This window comes from Homo sapiens, chromosome 1 (genome assembly GCF_000001405.40).
Source record: "Homo sapiens chromosome 1, GRCh38.p14 Primary Assembly".
NCBI classification, from domain to species: domain Eukaryota; kingdom Metazoa; phylum Chordata; class Mammalia; order Primates; family Hominidae; genus Homo; species Homo sapiens.
Genome location: NC_000001.11, coordinates 64841927 through 64856498, shown reverse-complemented (window position 1 = coordinate 64856498; position 14572 = coordinate 64841927). Strand labels below are relative to the sequence as shown.

Below are 14572 nucleotides of genomic sequence, written 5' to 3'. Positions count from 1 at the left end.
GAAATGATTACTTCCACCGCACACTGTGGCCCACCAGACCCTGTGCCAAGCGTTGTACCTACTTGTGCTTTTTTAAGCCTTGTAATAGCCATATTAGGTAGGTGATATTATCCCATTGTACAGATGAAGTAACTGAGATTTTGAATATCATCTCCTAGTTTACAGCTTATGTAAGTCTTTCTGGCCCTCATTGTTTACCACTAAAATAGTTTAGTTTGTACAAAAAGAGCCCATGAGGGAAAACTGCTTATACCTCCTATCTGGCACCACAGTGTCCCAAACCTGGGTCAGACACTGAACACCAGCTCCCAGTGTGGTTTTCCTCAAGTGGAGACATGGCCTGGAAGGGCTCAGTTTGAGGCTGTTCCTTGAGAAGTTGTGCCATCATAATTATTACCTCATATATAATATCTGCTGGACTTTATAAAGGGCTTACTAAGTTTTTCAATACACCATGTTAGATAATTGTAGCAACAATCCTATGAGGTTGGATTTTCATGAACTTTATCTTACAGGTGAAAAACCAAGTGACGCTTTTGTAGAAATAGCTACTGTGTCTGCTGTAGTATTAACTCCCTTTTATCAATGCCTTCTCCTGGACCTTGTTTTATTATTTAGTTAGTTGTTGGTTGGATTATTTATTGATAATAAACTTTATTTTTGAATAATTTTAGATTTACAGAAATGTTACAGAGATGGTGCAAAATTACTCTTCATGCAGCTTCCCCTAATGTTAATATCTTACATACCCATGCCTGACCCCATTTTAAACATGTAATTTCTGGTCATTTCCCGAATAGCAGGTGCAGGGTGCCCAGAAGCAGTTCAAGAACTTTCAGATCGAGGTGCAGAAGGGCCGCTACAGTCTGCACGGTTCGGACCGCAGCTTCCCCAGCTTGGGAGACCTCATGAGCCACCTCAAGAAGCAGATCCTGCGCACGGATAACATCAGCTTCATGCTAAAACGCTGCTGCCAGCCCAAGCCCCGAGGTTCGTCTCCCTGTGCCAGAGCCAGGCTGTATCCCATCAGTAATGTGCTGAGACCCAGATCGACCAAAACACGCTGACTGACTTAAACAAAGTGGACCCTCCCCACAGTTTCTAGGTGTTTTTTATTGAGTTTAATTACACTTCTGTGCCCAACTCACATCCAATCCCTTGAGTGTGAGCATTTTCTGTAGAAGAGGCATATACCTTTCTCAGCATCTCATTAGGCTGCAGAAAGAGGCATGCTCAGCATTAGTAAGCAGAAAATCACTTCTTTCTTCCTTAAGATAAAATGCCTTGAGGAGTCTCCTGTCACTGGTTTATTTATCTGAGAGATATTCCTGGCACATCTTTTGTGGGCCAAGAACTATATCAGATGCAAAGAATCAGAAATGCATAAGGTCCAGTCCCTGCTCTCTGGGGGTTTCCCAGCCTAATGCTGATGTTACAGGTAAATGAGGCCACTGCAGTTTGTGATGGGTGTTTTAACTAACATAGATATCATACCCTGGAGTCAAACAGAAAGGGATGGTCAAAATCCCTGAGTTCCGTGGCACAGGGGGCTGCCTGGAGGAGGCAGCTCTTGAACTGAGTGTGGGAGGATGAGTGGGAGGTTGCCAGTGCGGTCAGGGCATCTCGGCACGTGCAAACAGAGGCATGGGCGGGGGCTGCCATGAAGGTGAAGGTGGAAGGAAGGTGAAGGTGGAAGGGAGGGGCAGGTGAGGCTGAGCTTAGGGTGTGGGGGCCTTGAGTGCTATGCCATGGAGCTGGGTCTTTATCCTGCAGGCTGTAGGGGCCAGGGAGGATCAGGGAGTGAAATGGATCCAAGGGGGAGCCACTCAGCTGTTTCTTGTTAAGCCTCTTGAATGGCGTCACTGATGTTCTGCAGGTGGATTTGTCTCTTAGAATGTGAGGACTGGAAAGACACGTAGAGGTCACACAGTCAACTGTCTCATTTTATAGATGAGAAAATTGAGGCCCAGAAGAGCGAAGTGGGTCTCATCAAAGGTCAGCGTCAAAGAGGGGCTTGAGTGCCAGGCCTAACCTGAGTGCCCTAGCTCTTGAGAACGGTTTATTTTGCTGCTCCTCACCTCAAGATGCTGCCCTTCATGCGTCAGGTTCTTCCCTTAGAAGGAGGAAGGCCTCAAAGAAGGAGCAGCACGATTGCCACTGAGGCCCCATGAGTGTCAGAGGAAGACCCTCTGAGGAGTCTTTATCTGGGACACATCTTGTTCTTCCAAGCGAACGTGTCCATAAACCCTCACACCACCAGGAGTGGGCAGAGGAAGCAGCACCAGGATAGAAAGGGACCTGGGTTCTTGATGTTTGAATCAGTTTTTGGTCTCAGCAAGGGGCTTGTCACTGAACTTGGTGAAAGAGGAGGGACTTGTGTTCTTGATCAGATAGGGGTTCCTGCCAGGCTCAGAGAATAACTGCAGCCTTTGTTTTCATGCTTGAGGATTTTCCGCAAAGGTAAAAACACATCTGCCACTTGGCTGTGAGACCTCAGAGTAAGTTCAAACCTTAAAGCCCAACAGCCCTATTTATTCACAGCAACACACTGGAACGAACCCCAGTTGAGGCTCCTGAAACTCAGTGCTGAATGTGTTTCCTGTTGCCTTTCCCACCTGACTGTGAACTCTTAAGACAGGACCTGAGTCTCACTCACCACTCTATGGGCTCGTGGGGAGGACAGTGCCCAGCACGGAGTCAGCGTGAATAATGCCTGTCAAGTGAACAGGTAGCAGGAGCTGCTGGATGGTGGGTGCCTACTGTGGCCCAGGCAGTTTATGTACCTACCTCATTTATTTCATCTACACAGTAGCTTTTTGTAGATATTACAAAGGTGATGAAATTGAGACTTGAGATGGTAAGTGACTTGCTCAAGGCCATGTAGCTAGTAGTATCGGTAGTAGGTAGAACAGTAGTAATAATTAATAAGAACGGCTGCTATCATGTGAGCAGGGCTTACAGTTTGCCAGGCGTTGTTTGGAGATCTTTCATGTTTTAAGTCATTTAGTCCTCAAAATAACCCAGAATATGTTGTTATCCCAATTATACATGCCCAAGATCACTTAGGTAGAGGATGAGTGGGGATTTGAACTCACGTTGTCTGACTCCAAGTCCAGTGATTCCTTCTGTACCACTGCCCCCACCCTGCCCAGGTCACACTGTCTTTGGAAAGGTGCAGCCATCAGCCTAGGACTTTAGAGCAGGCACCAATTCTCCTGACCTTGGGAGAGTAAGAATAAGGCCTGTGTGTGAGGCCTCCTTACATAGGTCCCCCAAAGCTCTCTCTCTTCCCTTTGCCATGTGCAAATTAGAGAAGTGGGGAAATCGTGAAAATTAGACATGAGAATATTGTGTTGGGTTCTTCAGCTCCTCTGCTCTCCTAACCACGGGGTTTTGATAGCCAGACCCTGATCTGGGTTTCTCACTTGAAAATGCAACTAAGAAACTCTTCATGGGATAAATAAAAAGCAAAGTGAAAAAGCAGGAGGCCATTCAGAGTGGGCGTGACGGCTCAGCAGGTCCCACATCTCTAGTCCTGTGTCCTGTGTCCAGCTCCACTACCCATCTCCCACTCCAGAACCCTGATGATACAGGAAGAATGATGACAGTGACTAAGATGTAATGCCAGTCATAATCACGGCGGCAACCAGTCAGGGAGCGTTTTACTCCATACCGGGCACTGAAGGCAGCCGTTCCCTTGCGTCATCCCATTCTTCCACACGGTAACCTATGAAGGACACAACTGTGGCCCCCATTTTTCTAGTGAGGAAACACCTTCATGGAGGCACTGTGGCTTCCCCCATTCACATTGTTAACCCTGGTGCCATGTTCCCTGAAGTGCCCATGCAAAGAATAGTCCATAAATGGCTTCGGTTCCATCCGCCTCTCATTTCCCAAGTGGCTCTGCTGCCTGGCCTCTTGCCTGTGGACACCAGCCACGGGGCCCCTTCTTGATGCCTTTTCTCCTGAGTTGAGTTGAGCCTGAGTTGCCTCTGAATCGGATTTTCCCCAGGTAACAGAGTGGAGTCAGGAAAATGGTATGGAGGGAGCAGCCTCTGGAAAAAGAGTGCCCAGGTTGTGAGAACAAGGGGAGCCTCTCCCTGAGCCCTGTTTCTGGCACCCACATTTGTTCTCCCGATTAGGGCCAGGTATGTTGTGGGAAGGGTAGAGACGAGAGCATCTCTGACTTCAGTGTGAATCCTAAGATTACGAACTGCCTGGCCTTGGGCCAATTACTTAATCTCTCAGAATCTCTGTTTTCTCATCTATAAAATGGGGATAAGAATACTGTGTATTCCACAGGATTGTCATAAGGACAAAGGAGTTAATGTGTATAATGCTCATAGAACACCGGCTGGCATGGAGAAAACAGTCGGAATATGTGAGCTTAAAAAATTAGAAAGGAAAAGAATGCCCTGTCCTGAGGGATAGCAGGGATTAGAGACGTGGCCCTGTGCAGGGACCCGGCGCTCAGCAGCCATTGTCTCCCAGCGGTGTGTGTGGTGGCCTCCATGGGTTGTGCCTGGCTGTTCTACAGATGTTCTTTTAGGAACTTCCTTCTGTTACAGTCCAGGAATCAGGACTGGAATGGCTACATTTTCTCCCCTAACTTGTTATTGTCTTCTAGTGCAGGAAAGAGGAAGTGAAGGGAAATGCATGTTCGTTGTCATTTTGCTAATATTCCTGCTTCAGTTAATAAAATTGATGAAAACATACAAGTCTTCAGAGATTCCCAGAATACTTTCCCTGCTAGTCAGAATCTGGAAGGTCCTTTCTTGCCTTATGATAACCTCGTTCCTTGCAGTAGCTCCATAGCGGGAAAGGTGATTTCTATGGATTGTAGATTTCCTGGCCTCGAGGATTTTGTAATGTGTTGGGTTTGCTGTTTGAATCAGTAGAATCTGGGGGATAGTCTACTTAAACCTGCATATTGAGGGGGCATTTGGTAAGCGCCTCTCCATGTCAGGCACTGCTGGTACCACGAGCTTCAGACAGGGCACTGTTATGGGTCTCCTGCCCTGATCTTCTGGCTCAAAACCAGCGTTTGTTCACCTCCTCCTCTGGTTCCCATCATGCCCTGGGCCCGGGTACTGCTTCTTCCTTCCATAGCTCTCATCCTTTAGAAAGACGCCAGTCATTCATTCACTCATTTAACAAATAATAATTGAGTGCCTACTATGTACCGGGCTGTGGAGGTGGAGAAGAAAATAAGATAGACAGTCTCTGACTTCTTTCAGTTTCCAGTCTTACATTTTAAATTTTAATTTCATTAGGGAAACTGTTTCTGACCTTTCTTACCAGAACAGATCTTGCCATGCCAACCTTGGAGCACCACACACCTGTTCTTTAGAGGAGCTGAACAAATTGTAGCTTTCCATTTAATTGTTTATTTGGGAGTTTTGGCTCTGTCGTTACCCTCTGAGCTCCTGGAGGGTAGGAGCCATATGCCTATTGAATAAGCACTTGTCGAATGACTGAAGCAGCAAGCGCCCGCACACCGGTCCCACGGCCCCGGCTCAGCAGACGTTGGCTGTCTGAGAGCTCGGATCTTGGGTGCTGTGCTCAGACTCCCCCAATCTCTTCCACAGAAATCTCCAACCTGCTGGTGGCTACTAAGAAAGCCCAGGAGTGGCAGCCCGTCTACCCCATGAGCCAGCTGAGTTTCGATCGGATCCTCAAGAAGGATCTGGTGCAGGTGAGTCACGGCTGCAGGGTGTGGGCCAGCTGTGGTCCTGCCTCCCCACGATGGAGCAGCTTGGGGATCTGGGGGAAGGAAGGCTGTGTTTGGGGAAATCTTAGTAGAAAAAGAACAGGGAGACTTTCCTTTGATGGCAAAAGCCGTACAACCATTGCCTCCATCCTCTTCACCCTTGCTGATGCTCCTCAGAGACATGTTTTGAGGTAAGTGGTTTGGTCAGGCTTTGTGGGGTTACCTAGAACAGCAGGGACCTTCTGTGGTGAGCTGAAGGGGTGGCAGGGCAGGAGGTGGCTCTCCACAGGGGAGCATGGCCATCACACCTCGCTGCCTGCAGCAGGCTGTGTGATGGAGCACCTCCAGAGTTCAGTCCTGCACTTTCTGATGATGCTTCCAGAAGGAGCAGAGCTCAGGAGGAGAGAACACAGGGAGGGAACAAGAGGACATGCACACTCTGGGCCTGAAGGAGAACTATCTTGAGAAACAGATCCCAGTCTTTGGAGGCCTTTTTGCCCAGAATCTACAGGCTGAGCGGGGAGCCCAGGATCTCCCCAGGGGCTGCCCTGGAGCTGTTGCTGGTGGTGTGAGGCCCAGGGAAAGCCCACTTTCTGTTCTGCCACCGCTCCCCAGCCCTGTTGCATAGGGCCACGCGTTGGGGTATCAGGGAGATGGTGCGGCAGCCTTGGAGAGAAGCAAGCACGGGGCCACTCACCACCTCGGGAGATGGCAGCGCCTTGGAGGTGTTGGAGGGTGAGGCGGAAGCTGCCTGCTGTGAAGGAGCCTGGGGAGAGTGGCACTCGGGGGTTTGTTACTTTACCTTTTTCAGTGAGTCCCCGAGATTGTTGGATGGGGCTTGAGGGAGTGGAAATCCACAGCTAAACTGCCTCACTTCCCTCGTGGTACATTTCTTCACCAAAGGCCCATCATTGTTCTCTATTCCTCTCGTGGTGTGAGAGCTGTGTCCTGAGATTACAGTCACCAGAGCCACAGTTTCATAGCCTCTTTTCTGTGTAGAACTTGACATAGTCTGTGGGGCCTGCCTCTTTTCCCTTGCCTCGAGCCTCCAAGCAGGTAACCACCATCCTCCATGCCTTCCACATCCACTTAGCCAACAGAGATCAAGCATTACACGTGCGAGGCACGATTGCTGCTTCAGCAGGCTCCTGTCTATTTTGAGGGGGTAATCACGTTAGCAAGAGTCAAGTTCCAAAGTAGGGAAGTACAGCAGGATGTGGACCTAATCTTGAGAGGACGGAGATAGCTTCCTGGGGGAAGCGGTATCAAAGCAGAGTCCCAGACCAGGCACAGCGGCTCACACAGTGGCTCACACCTGTCGTCCCAGCGCTTTGAGAGGCCAAGGCGGGAGGATCGCTTGAGCCTAGGAGTTCAAGACCAGCCTGGGCAACACAATGAGATCCCATCTCTACTAAAAATACAAATGAAAAAATGAGCTGCGTGTAGTGGTAAGCAGCTGTAGTCCCAGCTACTCAGGAGGCTGAGTTGGAAGGATTGCATAAGGCCAGGAGTTTGAGGTTGCAGTGAGCTATGATTGTGCTGCTGCACTCCCGCCAGGTGTTAGAGCGAGACCCTGTCTGGGGAAAAAAAAAAATCAGGGTCTCCTCCTGGAGGATGAACTCAAGTAGCTAGGCAAGGTGGAGGGAACAGCATCAGAGGAGGATGAAGTGGGCCATATGGGCCTTTGTGGGTCCCTGCAGAATCCTGACAGCATGGTGTCATGACTTGGCCACGGGAAGAGCAATTATTCTGAAAGCATATGGCTTTTACGGGATGTTCTGGGAATACAGCTTCCCATAACCTTGATGGATCACTTCATGACAGATGCAGCTTTAATGAATAGCCAAAGACCTTGCCAGGATACAGCAGACAGGGTGGATGCATCGCCATTCGGCTCTGACAGATAACAAATGGTGGCATTTGTGCAAATTAATATACCTGATTAACAATGGTGTATGTTCCTATGGGGGATAAGACTGATTCCCTAGGTATCAGTGACAGTCCCTTTTCTGCATTTCCAGGGGGTCCTCAAATAATAGAATAATGGATCTTCAGTTTACAAGTTTTGTGGTGCTAATGTCAACAACTTGACATTGCCTAAGTTTCGTGAATCCCATTTCGATTTCCAAATATTAAGAATTTTAAAAGCAGAATTATTGCAACTTGAACTGGAAGGGTCCTCAGAAATAGATCATGGTATGGCTAGGGCTTTGCACGGATCATCTCATTCAGTCCTCCTGCCACTCATCTGGGGGTATTGTTCCCTTTCACATGTCAGGAAATCCAGGACACATCACCCCAGGCTCCACCTTCATCTTCACATTGCCATCTCCTCTGTGAGGTTGCCAGGGCAAATGCAGGTGTACTTTGCACCACTAATTTTAAATCCTAGCGTGCATGCACACACATGAGCACACACACTGGATAAATGGATGGGAAACAGATGGTTCCAGTGTGAGAAACTGTGCCTACCTGTGCCAGAGGGCTTCAGATAACACATGGATCCACCAGATGGGTTTCTACGCATCCCCCCGTGTGCCTGAGTCTGTACCAGGAGCCTCCATCCCTGTTTCCTGGTTTGATTCTTACCACAGCCCTATGAGGTCAGTACCATTATTACCTCCATTTGCAGAAAGTGGGCAGAGATTGCCCCCATGTCACATGGCCAGCGGGTAGTAGAGCTGGGATTTGCAAGCCTCTTCACAGGGTAGCACAGCCTGTGAGTAGAGGAGCTGCCTGGGGGCTCCTCTCTTGAGTCTTCTCTGGAGGCCTGGGGTGGGACCCATGTGGCTGGCTGTTGATGGCCCTGTTTGCAGTGTCCTGACATGTTAGGACTGTGTTTTGGCCAAAGGCTGTTCCTAGGGGTAGAAAGCAAGGAGCCGTTTAGGGAGTAGGAGGACTGTCTCCTGGGGCCCAGCAAATGTCACCACTGTGTTTGGCCAAATAGCTTGTTGTTTTCTCTGGAGGCCTGGGGACCACGAGCTGGGGCAGGGAGCCCTCTTGCCTTTGCCCCATCCCATTGATAGTCCATGTTCCCATTGAGGACCCATTCCCAGACGGTCCATCACTTCAGGGCACAGAGAGGTCACCCAGCCTTCTGCTTCTTCCCTCAGGGCGAGCACCTTGGGAGAGGCACGAGAACACACATCTATTCTGGGACCCTGATGGATTACAAGGATGACGAAGGAACTTCTGAAGAGAAGAAGATAAAAGTGATCCTCAAAGTCTTAGACCCCAGCCACAGGGATATTTCCCTGGCAAGTGTCTTCCTCTGAACTCCTCCCCTCCCCTCTCCCGTTTCTGGAGCCAGTGGAACACAATGGGTTGAGAAGAACCCTTGCCCTTCTTGTGGCCCAGTGGTTTTCAAACTTGCCTTTTACTCAGAATTTTTTTCTCCACATATGATCTTAGTGGACCCTGCATGTAGAGTAAGTGAGGTGGGTTGAACAGCTCCTCACACTCAGCCTGTGCCCTCCCTTCCACCCCCAACCCCCACCTTTCCTAAGGACAGGTCCAGGTGGCTGTGCTGTGGAGCCCTAGGACTCTGGCCAAATGGTTCAAAGTTCCTGATACAGTCCATGGCTCTCACCACACAGTCTGGAAAACGAAAGCCCAGAGGAGTAAAAGGACTCACCCAGGATTCTACAGACTATTAGAGTGACACAGTCAAATCTTGAGCAGAGATCGGCTGCCTTCATTTCCCCTTTGTTCCAGCATAGTGCTAAATATGGGTATTTCCCAGAGCTGAAAGGAAGAGAGAGAGGTGGGCATGAGTATCCAGTGGGAAAATTCTTAGCCAGCTTCTCCCACCAGCCCTGCTCTGCATCCTGTTAGGTTTTCTAAATAAACCTCACATCCCTGCCAGGTTGGCCCAGAGAACAAGGCTTGGCAGTGCCTCTGGACAGCCAAGGCCAGAGGATTGATGTTCAGGGCCTGGGGTGGCGACAGTGGTGAGCTTTCCTGGGTCCACTGGCTTTCCCCTCAACAGAGCCCCTGGGGAGCAGCCCCCTGGAGGCTGGCCTGAGACATTCCTATGTCCTGCTCGCCCACAGGCCTTCTTCGAGGCAGCCAGCATGATGAGACAGGTCTCCCACAAACACATCGTGTACCTCTATGGCGTCTGTGTCCGCGACGTGGAGAGTAAGTGTGTTCTCTTTCAAAGGGGTGGGTGGCCTGGCTGGGGAGCTTGGGTGCTGTGGAGATGGTGGAGGCTCTTCCCACCCTCACGTTGCCCAGGCTTCTTGCCTTTCTTTTTGCAGTTGAGGAGATTGAGGGACTGAGCAGGTCATTTGCTTAAGTTAATAGTGGAGGTGGAACTAAAACCAATTGCTTTTCATTCATTTGTGTAATGTTTTCTTGTCAACGCTGGCCAAGAACCCTACACTGTGCTAGACCTGGGAGGCTGAGGTGAGTGAAATGAGGTCAAGGCCACAAGAGTCAGGCCCAAGGAGCTCTGGGCAGGTGAGCGAGGTGAGCGCACCCCACAAGCAGCAAGACGCTGGCTCCTCGAATGGACTGGCTTCCATTTTAACCACAGGCAGGCTTGGCCCTTTCTTGGTTGTCAAGCCACTGAGCCGGTGGGCCCTTGGGCTGCTGCTGCACACTGAGATGGAGGGGTGGCCTTGGCCTCTGAGTTCCTGACATGTAAGTTTGGAAGAAGAGCGATTTTTTTTTTAACCCCAAGTGACTTCTTCCCTGTGGAATCCAACAATGTGAGCTGTTCCGTGTACTCACACAGGAGTCCTGTTGAGAGGGAAGTTTTGCCGTGTGAGCGGCCTGACCTCTGCATCACAGTGTGTTGTAGAACAGCAGCAGTGGTGGCGGTTGTTCCCAGAGCCCTTGTTCTCTGTGTCAGGCCCTCCGCCAAGGCTTTCCAGGCCTTGTGACATTTAGCCGCCATCTGTTATTACAGATGAGGGAATTGAGGCTCAGAGAAGTGTCACTTGCTCAGTGCCACCGTTTAGAAGAAGAGCTTGGGGTTGAACTTGGCCTTTCCAGCTCTGAAGCCCCTGCACCATTGCACCCCCCAAGGATATCTGTGTACTCTGAGGCCGAGTAGTGTCCACTGAAGTGGACTGTCGTAAGGGGATGAAGGAGAGGACCGTGCCACAGACCAGGTTCCAGACATGGCTATTTTTATGCCTACAGATATCATGGTGGAAGAGTTTGTGGAAGGGGGTCCTCTGGATCTCTTCATGCACCGGAAAAGCGATGTCCTTACCACACCATGGAAATTCAAAGTTGCCAAACAGCTGGCCAGTGCCCTGAGCTACTTGGTGAGAATGTCCTGATGTCCATAATGGTCCCACCAGAAACCAGAGTGTCCTGGGAGGGGTGGCAGGAAGGAGGTGCTAGCCAAGCAGCTAGAGGGGCCTGTCCTTGGGTTCCATGGGGCCAGGGCTCTGTGGTTGAACAAAGGTGTGCCTGGTGCTTACTGAAGATGGTCGTTTGGGGCCGTTCCCTGTGCTCACATGAGTTCTGTTTAGTGGGAAATGTTAGCACGTCAGAGGGCCGACTTGCATACTGCAGCATATGGATGGCAAGGCTGAAAGCAGTGCAGTACGTGTTGAGTGAATGAGTGAACTGCCAGCATCTAGTAGCTGACGTGTGGAGTGCTCACCATGGGTCAGCTGTTCAGGCGTTTCACAGATTCTAATCAGTATCATGCTCACGAAGCCCAATGAGATACGTGCCACTATTTAGCCACATTCAGTGATGAGGGAGCTGGAGCCAAGGGGCACCTGTGATGTGCCTAAGTCACACAGATGATTGGCAGCAGGGCCAGGCTGTCCAGATCTGGCTGTAGCTGGGGGTAGGAAGAGATGACCTGAGGGACCAGGGTTGGAAATAGAATGCGGGAAGGAGCAGCTTGGCTAAACTTGACCTTTTTACTCTGCAGGAGGATAAAGACCTGGTCCATGGAAATGTGTGTACTAAAAACCTCCTCCTGGCCCGTGAGGGCATCGACAGTGAGTGTGGCCCATTCATCAAGCTCAGTGACCCCGGCATCCCCATTACGGTGCTGTCTAGGCAAGGTGTGTCTCCCCTCTCTTCCCTCTGGCCCCACCCCGAGTCAGGGGCAAGTCAGCAGAGAGAAGGGCTGGGCTGGGGTTGGTCTCCTTTTAGAGAGTCATTTTTTTTTTGTATTTTAGTAGAGACGGGGTTTCACCATGTTGGCCAGGATGGTCTTGATCTCCTGCCTTCTCTTAAGTCCTTGAACGAGCCCCCGTTCGTCCTCCTGCCCTGGGTGATGGCCCCCACCCTGGGATGTTTTGCTGATCCTAAGGCCAGGGCTTCAGAAGCCTGGCTTCACACGACCCTCCTGGGGAGCTTGGAGGCAGGGACCCATCTGCTGGCTGTGACCCAGACTGATGTATCAGAAGTGCTGGTGGTGGCTTGGAGGGCTGCACGCCTGCAGGCCCCCCGCACAGGGCCTATGTGGCCATGGGCCATGTTTGGGCACACTGCTTGAAGTAGTTCCTTCATTGGCTCACTGTTCTGGCTGCAGTGACAGTAATTGAATCCCTAGGAGATCCCAGAAACTGCTCCATCAGTGTGTCTGTTGTCTTCCAGAATGCATTGAACGAATCCCATGGATTGCTCCTGAGTGTGTTGAGGACTCCAAGAACCTGAGTGTGGCTGCTGACAAGTGGAGCTTTGGAACCACGCTCTGGGAAATCTGCTACAATGGCGAGATCCCCTTGAAAGACAAGACGCTGATTGAGGTGAGCAGGTGTTTCCCGGGGCGTGAGGCAAGTGAGGGCTTTCAGGTGCTCGTGGGCTTCCCAGGAGTTGTCGGAAGCCTGGCACTGTGGGAAGAGATGGGCATGGGTTTGAATCTCTTCACGGGCCTACTGGGTGTGTGACCTCACAAATGTAACTGAACTTCCGTGAGCCTCAGTTTCATCATCTATAAAATGGGGATAATCAGTAACTACTTGTAGGGTTGTTGTGAAGATTAAATAATGCATATAGAGTGACAGGCATGCAGTACAAGCTCGATAGATGTTATAGTATTATTTATCTGAGATTTTAAGTGCCTGTTATTCAGCAAAATTACCACACAAATACGTATGGAGTTCCTATTGTGTATCAGGCATCAAGCTTGGGAAAAGCTGGAGGTTCACTATAAAATAAGATACAGGCCTTGCCTTCCCTTGAGGGCCTTAGGGTATGGTAGGGAGTTAGGCTAAAATAACAACGGTAAGAATTCCAGAAAGAATACCTGAAAGTGTCACCCTAAGAGCCCTGCAAATTAGGTAGGATGGTGTCATTACCCTCATTTGACAGATCAGGTAACTGAGACTCAGGTAGCCCCACTTACCTGGGTTCCTCAGCTAGAATGCAAAACAGGCGAGGTGTGGACCTCCTCCAAATCTACCTGTGGAAAAAGTGGAGACTCTAACTCCAAAGGGGTAAAGTAGTAAAAATCACAATGAAAGACCATTGTCCCTTCATCTCAGTGACTGCAATTGGAATGTGCTCCTGTTGTTTAGAGGGGGCAGGCATCAGTTTCGGCTGTGAGAGCCTGGTTTCAGTGCTGTGTCGGGAGCCTGGGTAGTTTGGTGTGCCTGGCCTTGAGTGTCTGGAGTGGGGAAAGGAATAACAGTGATCAGGTGGGAAAGGCCATTTGGGTTCAGATTTTTAAAGTCCCTGATTCCAGGCTGCAGAACCTACATTTTACTGGGGGTGGCATGGGACAAGGAAGGATTTGGGTGGAGGAGGGAGGGGCTTGGAGGTCGGCCTTGGGATGTTCTTCTGGATGCAGTAGCTGGGATGGACAGAGGAGAGACCTGGAGGGAGACAGGGGCCCCGAGTCTCTCAGCAATGGGAGCCCCATGTCCGGAAATGGCAGCGGAAGTCCAGAGTGCAGGGTGGGAGATATTGAAGAGGTAGAACCTTTATGACTTGCCAGTTAATGATGGTGCAGGACTTGGGAAAGGATCTTAAACCCGCAGGGAAACCATCAGATCTACAGATCTGCTATTTGGAATTTTCAGCCTAGGCTTTTGGGAAATTCATATTTATTTTTAACTTCCTTGGATCCTTGGAAATGAAACAACATACCCTTTGTCATCAGTCAGTATTTATTGAGCACGTGCTGCGTACCCTGGGCTGAACAGCATACAGGGTGGTGTAAGGAAGGACCCGTGTCTTTAATAAAATAGGGGTCTCTCTCCACCTAAGTCCCCTTGGGTTAGATGGCTTTTCTGCAGGCTGCACTGACGCAGGGATGTGTGAGTGACACTCAAGGACAAGAGCAATTCTCAGCTCCTTAATTCCAGTCCTCCCTCCTCCCTGTCCTCTGGGGCCTGCCCACCCCACCCCACCCCAGGGCCCACGGGGACCAGAGAGGAACTTAGTACCCTTGGAGTCCAGCTATGAAGTAGAAACTGGAATGCAGTGGTTTCACTTCATCTTCCAAAAGTAGCATAAGTTCTTGTTTCTAAAATTTAAAGTAATAAACAGTTGAAGAAAATTTTTAAAATGAAACTATTAAAAAAAGAAAACAGCAATCACTGCATTCTTGTCATCCCTGACCACTGTTAACACTTTGGCATTTTGTCTTCCAGCCTGTTTGTATCTCTCTTTTTTAAACAAAATTGGGGCCATGCTAGATAGAGTTATATAAAATTCTGAGTTTTTTCATTTAATACTGAGAATGCTTTCCTGTGAGATTAAATCATAATTTTTACAAATTTAATGTAAGAGTTAATTGTTTTGTTTAATTTACTTGACTAATTTTATATTTGGCATTTAAGTTTTCAAATTTCCAGTGTTCTGTCTAATTCTGCAGGAAACATCCTTGTACATAAATATTTGTTCATATCTGATTTATTTCTGAGTCATTCAGTCATTGAA

The 14572-nt window shown here is 49.5% G+C and overlaps 1 protein-coding gene across 12 annotated transcripts in view, besides 3 other annotated features; it reads left to right on the top strand.

Annotated features, from left to right (window-relative positions):
- The window catches only part of JAK1 (Janus kinase 1), a 234518-nt gene that overhangs the window by 211248 nt on the left and 8698 nt on the right, over positions 1-14572 (top strand). For 9 of the 12 annotated variants that reach the window (NM_001321852.2, NM_001321854.2, NM_001321853.2 and 6 more), the window contains 7 exons: positions 801-990; positions 5589-5695; positions 8824-8967; positions 9763-9850; positions 10859-10986; positions 11610-11745; positions 12284-12435. In NM_001321852.2, the coding sequence (NP_001308781.1) occupies positions 801-990; positions 5589-5695; positions 8824-8967; positions 9763-9850; positions 10859-10986; positions 11610-11745; positions 12284-12435 (945 nt within the window). The remainder of the gene's footprint in view (positions 1-800; positions 991-5588; positions 5696-8823; positions 8968-9762; positions 9851-10858; positions 10987-11609; positions 11746-12283; positions 12436-14572) is intronic. The other 3 variants (XM_047419676.1, NM_001321857.2, XM_047419677.1) reach the window with 1 other exon arrangement.
- Positions 8697-9896: an enhancer, noted in NCBI's record as "BRD4-independent group 4 enhancer chr1:65312286-65313485 (GRCh37/hg19 assembly coordinates)". NCBI's record gives its function as "activates an origin of replication core promoter dependent on BRD2, P300/CBP, MED14 and CDK7 cofactors, and independent of BRD4, by STARR-seq in HCT116 cells {active_cell/tissue: HCT116}" and the evidence as "EXISTENCE:reporter gene assay evidence [ECO:0000049][PMID:35650434]".
- Positions 8697-10215: a biological region, named in NCBI's record as "BRD4-independent group 4 enhancer GRCh37_chr1:65312286-65313485".
- Positions 9714-10215: an enhancer, noted in NCBI's record as "H3K4me1 hESC enhancer chr1:65311967-65312468 (GRCh37/hg19 assembly coordinates)". NCBI's record gives its function as "activates a minimal SCP1, AML or CMV promoter by ChIP-STARR-seq in primed H9 embryonic stem cells {active_cell/tissue: H9 hESC(primed)}" and the evidence as "EXISTENCE:reporter gene assay evidence [ECO:0000049][PMID:30033119]".